A 13,251-nucleotide genomic window follows, 5' to 3' on the forward strand; every position below is an offset into this window, starting at 1 on the left:
AAAGTTCATATGGAACCAAAAAAGAGCCCGCATTGCCAAGTCAATCCTAAGCCAAAAGAACAAAGCTGGAGGCATCACACTACCTGACTTCAAACTGTACTACAAGGCTACAGTAACCAAAACAGCATGGTACTGGTACCAAAACAGAGATATAGATCAATGGGACAGAACAGAGCCCTCAGAAATAATGCCGCATATCTACAGCTATCTGATCTTTGACAAACCTGAGAAAAACAAGCAATGGGGAAAGGATTCCCTATTTAATAAATGGTGCTGGGAAAACTGGCTAGCCATATGTAGAAAGCTGAAACTGGATCCCTTCCTTACACCTTGTACAAAAATTAATTCAAGGTGGATTAAAGACTTAAACCTTAGACCTAAAACCATAAAAACCCTAGAAGAAAACCTAGGCATTACCATTCAGGACATAGGCATGGGCAAGGACTTCATGTCTAAAACACCAAAAGCAATGGCAGCAAAAGTCAAAATTGACAAATGGGATCTAATTAAACTAAAGAGCTTCTGCAAAGCAAAAGAAACTACCATCAGAGTGAACAGGCAACCTACAAAATGGGAGAAAATTTTCGCAACCTACTCATCTGACAAAGGGCTAATATCCAGAACCTACAAAGAACTCAAACAAATTTACAAGGAAAAAACAAACAACCCCATCAAAAAGTGGGCAAAGGACATGAACAGACACTTCTCAAAAGAAGACATTTATGCAGCCAAAAAACACATGAAAAAATGCTCATCATCACTGGCCATGAGAGAAATGCAAATCAAAACCACAATGTGATACCATCTCACACCAGTTAGAATGGCAATCAATAAAAAGTCAGGAAACAACAGGTACTGGAGAGGAAGTGGAGAAATAGGAACACTTTTACACTGTTGGTGGGACTGTAAACTAGTTCAACCATTGTGGAAGTCAGTGTGGTGATTCCTCAGGGATCTAGAACTAGAAATACCATTTGACCCAGCCATCCCATTACTGGGTATATACCCAAAGGACTATAAATCGTGTTGCTATAAAGACACATGCACACGCATGTTTATTGCGGCACTATTCACAATAGCAAAGACTTGGAACCAACCCAGATATCCAGCAATGATAGACTGGATTAAGAAAATGTGGCACATATACACCATGGAATACTATGCGGCCATAAAAAATGATGAGTTCATGTCCTTTATAGGGACATGGATGAAATTGGAAGTCATCATTCTCAGTAAACTATCACAAGGACAGAAAACCAAACACCACATGTTCTCACTCATAGGTGGGAATTGAACAATGAGAACACATGGTCACAGGAAGGGGAACATCACACTCTGGGGACTGTTGTAGGGACGGGGGAGGGGGGAGGGATAGCATTAGGATATATACCTAACACTAAATGATGAGTTAATGGGTGCAGCACACCAGCATGGCACATGTACACATATGTAACTAACCTGCACATTGTGCACATGTACCCTAAAACTTAAAGTATAATAATAATAAAATAAAATTAAAAAAAGGAGATACCTTTCTCATTAATATACTTAAAACCATATTATCAATATAAGAAATTACATAGTGTTGAATTTACCCAAGCAACAGTACAATATATTACTGGAGGTTATAACCACACAACAAACCAAAAACATTAATAAGTCTAAAAATTACTCTCCAAAATATAGAAAGGTATCCTAAAATATCAAGAAAATGGAAGCAAGCCAATAAAATGGATTATGTCTATGACTAGGCAATTTATAGAAAAGTACATAAAGATGACTAAGAATGTAAGAAAAACAAATTAACTTTAGCAGTAGCTTGACTAATGCAAATAAAAACAAAAAATAATGAAAGTTTCACAACTTGTAGAGTTTGGATAGATCTGCATTCTGACCCTCTGCAGAATTTCCTAAATAATAATAATAAAAATGTCCATGGTCTCAAAGCCAGCAATTCAACTGAATAGCCACTATAACACATGTATAAAAGACACAGAATATATATGTGTATATTTATGTATATATATGTGTGTGTGTATATGTGTGTGTGTTTATATTTATATATATATATAAACCTAAACTGCATCATAGCATTTGACAGTGTAATTTGAAAGAAAAAAAAAAACTCTGTATTTCCGTGATAGTGAAATATCTAAATTAACTATAAGATGGTAATGCTATATGATGTTCCATATGTCAATTATAAATAGACAAATTGGTTTTAGTTATATATTAAGGGAAGTATTTTATGCATATGCTTCAAAACTATTTACATAAAAAGTTACCGAATTGTATTATTTTATAAGGATACATATATATATATATATATATATATATATATATATATATATATATGAAAATACATAGAAAAACATCTGAAAAGGATGATACAGCAAACTGTTGACAGGTGTTTCCTGTAGGAGGGGACTGGGACTTGATGGTGGTCAAAGTGAGGTTTAGCCTGTCTACTATGTTGTAATTTTGTATAACAGTTAATCTATTACATGATATTTATAGTGAGTCAAAGGAGAAAGATTATATTATCATCTTGATAGATTCATTTTATTTCATTTTCTTTATCCTTCTTTGTATTCTGTCATTATAACTTCTACCATATGTGCATTGCATTTGTAGTCCAACAGATATCCCCATGGAGGAGCAAAAAAATATTTACTTTTCAATGCTTGTTAATGTGAAAATGCAAGAATACACTTCACATTTTTCGGAGAAGTGATCATATGGGCAAATTTCATGGCACTTGGCTATAATTGTTTTTGACAATGAGTCAGCTAACAGAGCTAAACATGCTTTTCCTTTAAAGATGCTTGTAATATACATATATTTAGATATATAAGTACTATTAAGATTATATAATATTGTACATTGTAAATATATGTTTAAAATAAATATATATCACTTCCAACTACTTAAATTTTGCCTAAAATATTTAAAAACTAAGATTTATTTAGAACTGAAATAAAGAAAGTTTCAACTGGAGTAAAGAAACAACGTTACCCTTCCTCTATAACTTTGGGCTCTTTCCATCCCCCACACTCCTCACCAGCTCCATCTTGTATCCTAGCAGAGAAAAAGTAGTAATTTCCCAATGTTAACAGTCAGCTGCAGCAGCAAACATGGAGGAGCATGCACTTCTGCACTTCATGAAAGGGGTGCCACTACTCTTAAATCTATGAAGAAGAAATTAAGAAGTGGCATATAAGGGTTGCATGGGCAGAGTTGGTTAATATTTTGCCCCTTAAGTCTTAACTTTGAGTAATGTTTGAGAGGAATCGAATTTGGCAGTTGTTACATTCAAGGGCTGATCATTCTGGTGTTTAATAGTTTGGAGTTGGTAATAATTATAGGACTTAGAATAGGGTTAAAATATGCCCAAACCCTACCTCTTACAACAGTCAAATATGAACGTATTACCACCAAGTATAGAGTTGGTAATTATCCAATGAATTGAACAACTTAACCCTACATTCATTTGAATGACATATTAATGTGTATTAATCTGTTTTCAGGATGCTGATAAAGACATACCCAAGACTGGGAAATTTACAAAAGAAAGAGGTTTAATGAACTCATGGTCCACCTGGCTGGGGAGGCCTCACAATCATGGCACAAGGTGAAAGGCACGTCTCATATGGTGGCAGACAAAAGAAGAGAATTTGTGCAGGGAAACTCCCCTTTATGAAGTCATCAGATCTTTTGAGACTTATTCACTATCATGAGAATAGCATGGGAAAGACCCACCCCCATGATTCAATTATCCCCTACCGGGTCCCTCCCACTACATGTGGGAATTGTGGGAGCTATGGTTCAAGATGAAATTTGGGTGGGGACACAGCCAAACCATATCATAATGTTAACCTCATCTGCGTGTGTGTACAAATAAAAGATATATCCTACCTATCTGATAAGCGGCGAGATCAAAGAGATGACTTAGTGAAATATCATGGTTTATGAAACATCTCAAGCACTTGGTTTCTCTGGATAGAAAGCAAAGGTGAGAAGGGATTGATGAGGGTTCTGAAGCAGTAGGCAGAGCCAAATCAAGACTTCTGAGCCATGTCAAGAATCTTGAGTTTTATACTGAGATCATCAGTCTTTAGACAAGAAGGCCTGTTGGTTCATAAAGGATTTCCAAGGAGATAGTTTTATGAGACTCAATTTCCAGGTCCTTAATTTCCAACTCCTTCATTTCCACACAGTCTCTTTCCTCAGCTGCGTGAGATTGCTCATGTTCCTATTAGTCTTTCTCATTTTACACACACACACACACACACACACAAAAACACTGTCCTTAACTGCAGAAAAAAATATTAAAGTTTTGCAGTAACTCCTTTAATGATTCATGGATATGTCTTAAACGCATTAGTCTCCTGTTTTCCTTTGCATTTAACATATAAATATCTGGAGTGTTAGAATGTTCTGAATTCAAAAGGGCTAATGCATTAGAAGTTACTGAACCTGATACTTTTAAACTTAGCTGACTATTTTCCTAGCATGACCGAAGTTCTCATGTTACAGGAAGTGAAACCCAAGCATGAAAAATTTACGTGATTATTTAAGATTGGGTGTGCATTACTCAACAATGTATTTAAAACTCATTTTATCAAAGTATAAAATATTTATTTCAATTACAGTAAATCCTCATTTCACCTTACAAAATATGTAATATTCTTATCTCTTATTAACCAAAAATAAACATCTAAAATTATGATGAAATGTTTAAAAATGTGGGCAATTTTTTGAGAGTAAATGAAAGCAAAACATGTTGAAGTCTCCTGTTGCAGTCTTCAAGAAGAACCATAAGACAAGAGCAAGGTGTGTGTAGGAAGGTAAATTTGCTAATTGCAGTTAACTTTGGGGAGCTATAAGATAGAAAGGAAATGACAGAGGGAGTTTTATTCCAATACATCAAGAATTAAAAAAGCACCAGAATATCATAAGAGCAGAGCAGATGGCTGCCTCTCTGCCTCCTCCATGTGCACACCCATCAGTTAGTTGATGAAGAAGGGTATTTTTTGAGCCTCTGGTGTGATGGTGGCCAATCAGTGTCTTTTCCTAGAAGAAGGTAATGTAAATCAAAGTCTAGTGTCCTTAATTATTCTCCTTAACTTGAAGTATACCAACTTTGGAAGGTCTGTGGGAAAGTTGAATTTTTATCCAAAGTTTTTATAGGAAAGAATATTCATCTTCTGGCAAAGTGAGCCCATTATTTCAGAGACAAAAAAAAAATGTTCCTGATGAAAAATAGGTCAAGCACCCCTGCCAGAGGATCTTAATTGCTTCATGAAGAAAATCAACCTTCCTATCACCTCTTGGCCTAATCTCCTTGTTTTTCTTCCTGTCCTCATCTTTCCTTTTCTCCTCCTCCTCCACCACCTCCTCCTCCTTCTCTTGTTCTTTCCCACTCCCCTTCCCTGCCCTTCCCACCACAGTTGTAGCTGGAAACAGTGTGTGAATCATGTAACAGGTGATGTTGATTAGCTCCCTGCAATTTCACATTCTGAGAATATCGCCCTCCGTTATTCCTCCTCAGAGCATTCTCTAGACAACTTCTCCCACTATATACCTGGAATATACATGGGGTATGTCTAGTCATGTAATGTTTGCCTTGTGATATTGCTGCAAAGTCAGATCTCTAGTAGAAAGTGTTGAATTATACAAACTGAGAGGGCACTGCACTCCTCCAGTAGACTAAGGAAGCTACTGGACTTCATCCTACATCTTGCAATGCACATCTTTAAGAACGTTCAAAACACAAAATACCCATAAGGTTTCAAATTTTTAAAAACAGTGTGGCAATTCCTCAGTGATCTAGAACTAGAAATACCATTTGACCCAGCCATCCCATTACTGGGTATATACCCAAAGGATTATAAATCATGCTATAAAGACACGTGCACACGTATGTTTATTGCGGCACTATTCACAATAGCAAAGACTTGGAACCAACCCAAATGTCCAACAATGATAGACTGGATTAAGAAAATGTGGCACATATACACCATGGAATACTATGCAGCCATAAAAAATGATGAGTTCATGTCCTTTGTAGGGACATGGATGAAATTGGAAACCATCATTCTCATCAAACTATTGCAAGGACAAAAAACCAAACACCGCATGTTCTCACTCATAGGTAGGAATTGCACAATGAGAACACATGGACACAGAAAGGGGAACATCACACACTGGGGCCTGTTCTGGGGTGGGGGAAGGGGGAGGGATAGCATTAGGAGATATACCAAATGTTAAATGACAAGTTAATGGGTGCAGCACACCAACATGGCGCATGTATATGTATGTAACAAACCTGCATGTTTTGCACATGTACCCTCAAACTTAAAGTATAGTAAAAATAAAAAAAATGACATTTTTGAACCACAGCTGTCTGAACAAATAATAAAGAAGGCTTGTTTCAAAACAAATTGGGAAAAACTTCTCTAACTAATATTCTGTAACAGATAAATGGAATGGACTTTTGTTTTAACTGGAACAACACATGTGAAATAGTCTGCGGACGATTGAAAGAAAAGTAGAATATTAGGCACCTCTTGTTTAGAAGAAGTAAACCTGGGCATGATGAGGACATGACTGCTTTAGGAAACCAAAGATGAATAAGAAAATTTAGTTTATATGTTTTTTGTTTTGTTTTGTTTTTCTGTTGTGGGTGTTTCTACTTTCTCAAACAATTTTTATAGTTCATAAGAGGTCTTTCATTTCTTTGGAAATGTGTAATTAAATAAAATACAGTTGTATATACTCTGCTACTACTTTCTATAAGTGTATATTTCTGTTAAAAATACATATTTTGCTGAATCATAAAGTCACCTTAAGTAGCCCGGTAAAGGAGATCAAAATGGATATTTTTGCATCAAGAAAACCGTTATCCTAAATCAAGTCAAAAATGATGCCCTGGAGTTGCTGACTGACTTACCTGCCTTTTCTCTTGATATCATGTTTTGTAAGTAAAATAAGACTTTCTAATCATATAGCATATTTAAAATGCAATTTCACAGTCACTATGTGAACCAAAAGCAAATTTCTGATTCCAAACAAGAATCAGAAAAACTTACTTAGATCTTAGACAAATCTACAAAAGAGCTTTCCTGGTATGATTATATATTTTACTAATAAATATGTCCATGTTGCACTTTGGGTGTCAAAGAGAGAAAGAATCTTTATAGCAGTACTTACTCAACAAATGCAGGCCCTTATAAAATCATGCATTTGGGTATTTAGTGAAAGGTCCTAAGATACAATAAATGTCATGGTGAGCAAATTATTACTTCTGTAATAATTTGCAGTAATAATACCGCAAGAGAAAAAAAAATAAGCCACTAAAATACTATCTTATTCTGTGGCTGCTGTATTATGAAGTAGTTAACTGCAATGTTAATGCAAAATATCAGTGTAAATTGTCAAGATTTTAAGGTAGTATATTAATATGACACATAAAAGGCTTGTATTATGTAGTATACAATACTGCACTGTCAATTTAAAGACTTATTTTAAAAGAAGATAATTCTGAATTATATTTTTGTCTCTATGCTGTGACAGCCTAAACTGAGTATGTTCTTTGCTTTTCATTCTAAAAATTAGACCTATGCCAGTTCATCCAAGGAGAGAAGAATGGGAATGGGAACTATCACAGGGAGTTTAGGACTATATTATAGTCTAAATTAAATACCCAATTTACCTGTAACGTGAGCCATGGTTTTCTAGCTGCACAGATATATAATTCAGCTAAAGCAGAAGCTAATTGCCCTGCTCTGTTCCTGGAATGCTAAAGGAAGAACATTCAGCGCTACATCAGGCAATACTCCCATAAAGCTAATAGATTTAGCAGAATTGAAAGGTAACATGACCCCTGGAATTGAAAGACTTGCTGGCAAGGTAGAAATACCGTAACCCTGGGATTTCTCAGTCTTGGTTTCATAGCCAGCTCATAGGAGTTTGGAGCTGCAGTGGACCACCTGGTCAGACACAGCTTTTCCAGAGTACGAATCCAGGACTCATAAGCTTTATCATTCAGTCAGGCTCACGGAGTAGTCTGTGGGACTACAGATAACTGAGTAAAAGGAGGATAGCTAAGAGTGGTGACCACTGAAAATTCCAGGGTAAATGGGAAAAAAAATGCTGCAGCTGGTAATTTTCTCATTTGTTTATAGAATTTCTCCCTTTTTCTCTCTTCTTGTTTTTCCAAGGAAATGCATAATTAAATAGAATACTACTGTGTATCATCTGCTGCTACTTTGTGTATTCATAACTACATTTCAGCTTAATATTCAAATTTTTGTCAGATTATAAAATTATGCTGAATAACCCAATACAATAGATGAAAATTGACATTTTTGCTTTAAGAAAATAATCATCTGAAATCAATCAAACAGACTGTTTTGTCTGTTTGTCTGTTTTGTCACTGGTGGTGTCACAGGGGAAGATGAAATAGAGCTATTCAACTTTACCAGTCTTGATATAGGTGCAAACCAGGTCACTGCAGTTAATAACCAGACATAATTAAGAACCATTATAAAAATATGCTGTACTTCTAATAATACAATTTAGAAAATAAATTTAATAAACCCTACATAGTTTCTTAGGCATTAATGTGTACATCCATATATTACTGTTACTATAATATTTGTTTGACCATAAAGACCAAAGAGACACTATTTTTTTAAGAGACTCTGTCTTAATGTCTGCATATGTAGAGAGAAATAGGAGGATATTGAAAACTGTAGTCAAATAGTTGGTAAATCCATTAGATATAGAGATTAAAATATAGCAAACCAAAACACAATCTAAGTCAACATTTTAGCAAACAAACTTTGACAGCCTCAACAAAAGTCTTCCCTTAGGCCTTCCCTTCTTAATGTAAGACGGGGAGATGTTATTTTTGCCAAAAGTTTAGGTAGTGCAACCTCCAGTTCTGACTAAATGTTTCTCTTTATTTGTCTCAATAGTTTAGTTAGCTCCAATTTGGTCCATTTTTAGTCATGTGGGTTTAGGTTATTTGGCAACTGAGAACATAACTAATAATTTCAATTATTTAAAAAAATGGAACTATATTTTATGACCAAACATCTGAGACTTTGCTGGTAAATATTGGAGTGCCTGATTTAACAAGATGGATTATTTGAATCTGCTTCTCTAATGACAACTTCTAGATGACAATTTGTTTTTCTTAAAAAGCCTTTGTGTTATTCATACAGATATATAAAATTTTTGGCTATGCTTATGATATTTCTTGTGATAAATATTTGACATTAGAGCAGCTAATTATTATGATATGCCTATAAGTAAATATATACATATACACATATATTTTGTCATCATGTGTAAAGGAAGAGGATATTAGTAATAAAATAAGTGTGCTATAATAAAATATTAGCATAATAATAGAATACAGACATTAGATATGGTTAAAATTACTAACGATCATTCTCTAATTTTTTAAAGTTTTAAATGTATTACTAACTGTGCCTTAATTAGGATACATAAACTGCAGGTAGCTTAATATTGAAATGCAGAAATAAATGCACGTACATATACACACATACACATGAAATACAGCTTTTAAAATCTAAATGTATTTTATCTAAAAATAGTAACAAGACAAAATATTAAATAAGCTCTATCATTATTCATACTTCACTTGTATGCTCTTATAAGATTTTACTTTAATGAACTTAGTATCAGGAGCTTTTGCCTTAAAATTAGTAAGATTAAAGCAGAAAGTGTTGTTGGTTATGGTTTATATCATAAAGGTCAGGAGGGACGGAGACTTTACTATTCTCCATTGTGCAAAGCTGGTAAGATTATTAAATGAAAAATTAAAACATTTTTCAAAAACTGCATTTACATGTTGAAGCCATCCAAAGACTGTATTTAATTTATGCTCCATTAAGGTATGTGGTTTTATTTGGTGATCTATTACATTATTGAGACCAATTCTAACAGCAGCTGCCATTTATAATACCTGGGAGATACCAAGCAGTTTATTAAAGTGCTTATTTTCACTAATAGGAAATCTGATCACTAGCTCCTTTTCTAGTGTTATTATGAGGGTGAAAATGCATTTTCTCTAGATTAGATCTGGGGGTAATTTATCTCAGTAGTAGATGTAGATTTACCCTTATTGTTTTAATATATCAAAAGCATAGGCTTTTAAAAAGTTGTTTAATAAAAGCAATCTGCAGAAAGTGCAAAAAATGAACATGCATCCTGCCAGGGATATTTCCCCAGGAGAATTAAGTGAAATAATGGATCCATTCCTATCCCTACTCCCCAATCTCTTATTTACTTGTCTTTTTTATTTCTCATAAGCACAAACATTGAAATTGAAAAATATAGGTGTCTTCAGAAATCTAGGTTTCTATACCATGTTTCTTCTGCATGGCTTATTTTGTTATTATTGAGCATAACACCAAGCTCAAGGGAAATTTGACTTTGGTTTTCTTTGCTAATGGGTGTAAGTAGAAGCTTGAACAAAACAGATCAGTAGGATCTTCCTTTTTAATACTATTGGAATCAAACGTTCTTAGATACTAAATATACTTCTAATTAAGCCAGTGTATTCCAGAATATTAAACCACACCATAACTTACTCTTATCTAAATTTAGATATCATATCCCTTCAAATGAATCTTCATACTGTATGAGATTACTTAAAACTATTATCTATTGTCACTAATAATAACAAATTAATAGTGATAATATTTTCATTTATGGCATGTTTTCTATATGCGAAGTGCTATGTCAAGTACTTTACCTGCAGTCTATTATCTCACACAGACAAGAGCTCCGTGCGGTTCATTGTAGTCATTGCCAACTGTGATTTCATACTTTTGCTGATTTCTCAATCTCTTTTACCTCAGCTTTTTGTGGCTATTTAATTTCTCCATCCTGCAAGGGCTCAAGAATAAAATCTTTGTTCTTTGATTTCCTCAAAATATAATTTACCCAGATCACTATTTGCAATCCACTTTTAATCCTATTTTGGAGATAATAGAGGTTGTATCGCTATACATTACAACTAAATATGTGCATGTAATTTAAAATATCCTGGCTTTTTCAGTCCTCATCCTTTCCTGCTCAAGCATGTTTTACTACTTCTCCCTTCCTGTTTGCTCTTCTTTTGGATTTTTTTGCCTCTTGCATTTTTTTGTCCCCTTGTCTTCTCATTCCTTGTTCAGCTGACATCTTTGGGCTTGATGTGTGTCCGGCAATTCAATAGTCCTTATAAATTAGTGTACAAAATTTCTGCTTCATCTATAACAATTTATATAAATATACATACACACACATTCTGATGAACTGCTGTATTTTAAATTATTAAACACACACACAAATGCACACACACAGCTTCACTGCTATACTCAGAAAAATAAATGTATCTAATTGCAATTCTAGTGCCTAGTCATAAGACAAGCTTGATCCATATCCATTGCAAAATAAATCCATTTCCACATAAGTAGCCTAATTAAGTTGGTCCCTGTTCATTATAGCTCAAACTATCAGGAGAAAATATGGTCCAGAGGAAGAGTGGTCAGGTTCGCTATTTGAACACAGCGTTCTTTCTGAATAGTGTGTTGTCTGCATGTCCTCATCCTGCCTGGATCTCCTATAGTGGTATAGACTTGGGCAGAGTTCCTAAAGGTTGGGGAAGAATTTCCCCCTACTAGGAGTTCTGCAATGACTTAACTGCTTTTATTCCCATAGTTTGCAGCTCTGTACCTAGAAATTGAGATGTTGTGAACTGCATCAAATCATCAAGCCTGGGGGTGACTTGGGCTGAAGTACGGCTCTCACTCTTTAAACCATGGGTCCTGTGTCTGTGAACCTGAAGCCACCCGGAGGAGGTTCCAGTTCTAATTCCCACAGAGGCTCTCTGGAGTTAATCTACGGCCCAGAATGTTTTCCTAATCATATACCTGTATGTATTTACTGCTGGAGTATATAATTCTAGTTTCCTCTCTTAGCTTTTAATTGAGGGATGGCAAGGGAAATATTTCTCATGCTCCTTTGAGTTTCCCATATTTTCAAATACCTTTTATGTGGTACACACTAAAGTTGATTAACCATAACAACTACAAAGGGAAACCTAGCTCTCATCCCGGTCTCTCCCTCTCAAATCTTCTGTATCCCATATATTTTAGGAAGCCACTGGAAAGTGTCCCACAAATGTTCATGATCAAGCTCACCAGGTGCTGCAGTTGTGGAACTGAAAGCCACTCATTGGAGAAGGTTTTCTTCTGCAGGAATATCGCAGCATGTTATGCTTTGCTGCTCTGCAAATTTCCGGGTAATTAACGAGCATTTCAGGGCCCAAGATCACACATCAGCTTCTTCTCACACGAAATAGTCCATAAGATGGTGAACTTTTTAAAAATTAAATTCTGAGATATATTCTGGAATTATGCTGAGATGGTAAAACAATGCTCAGAAAATATGGTTCTCTCTAAAATTCTATCTGAAGAGTCCATAAGAAATAAAATAAATGTTTCCCCTGATGGCAGGCTACTGTGAGCAAAATGATACAGACCAATGGTTCTCAACTTTGGTTGCACATCAGAATCACCTGAGAGCTTTTTAAAATTTCTAATACTCAGATCTTATCCCAGGAAAATTAAATCAGAGGCTCTGGGGGTGGAGCCAGGGCGTCGATACTTTTTCCCAAATGATTGTAATGTGAGTGTTTCAAAATCTTAGCTTCCCAAGTGAAGCTAAGGTTTAGAGCCTCTGATGGATGCACCATTTTATTTGCAATACAACCAAAGAAATTTTGATAAACACAATTTAATATCAGAATAGAAAAGACATGCAGTTATGAGTCCATTAACAATGGTGATATGTTCTGAGAAATGCATGTTTAAGTGAGTTGTCATTGTGGGAACATCACAGAGTGTACTTACACAAACCTGGATAACATAGCCTACTACACACCTAGGCTATATGGTGTAGCTTGTCACTCCTGGGCTACAAAACTATACAGCCTGTTACTGCAGTAAATACTGTAGGCAACTGTGACACAATGGTAAGCATTTGTGTACCTAAATATATCTAAACATAGAAAATGTACAGTAAAATATAGTATAAAAGATACAAAATGGTGCACCTGTATAGGGCACTTACAGTGAATGGGGCTTACAGGACTAGAAGCTGCTTTGAGTGAATCAATGAGTGAGTGTTAAGTGAATGTGATGGTCTAGGACATTGCTATACACTACTCGA

This window comes from Homo sapiens, chromosome 14, assembly GCF_000001405.40.
Source record: "Homo sapiens chromosome 14, GRCh38.p14 Primary Assembly".
NCBI lineage: Eukaryota > Metazoa > Chordata > Mammalia > Primates > Hominidae > Homo > Homo sapiens.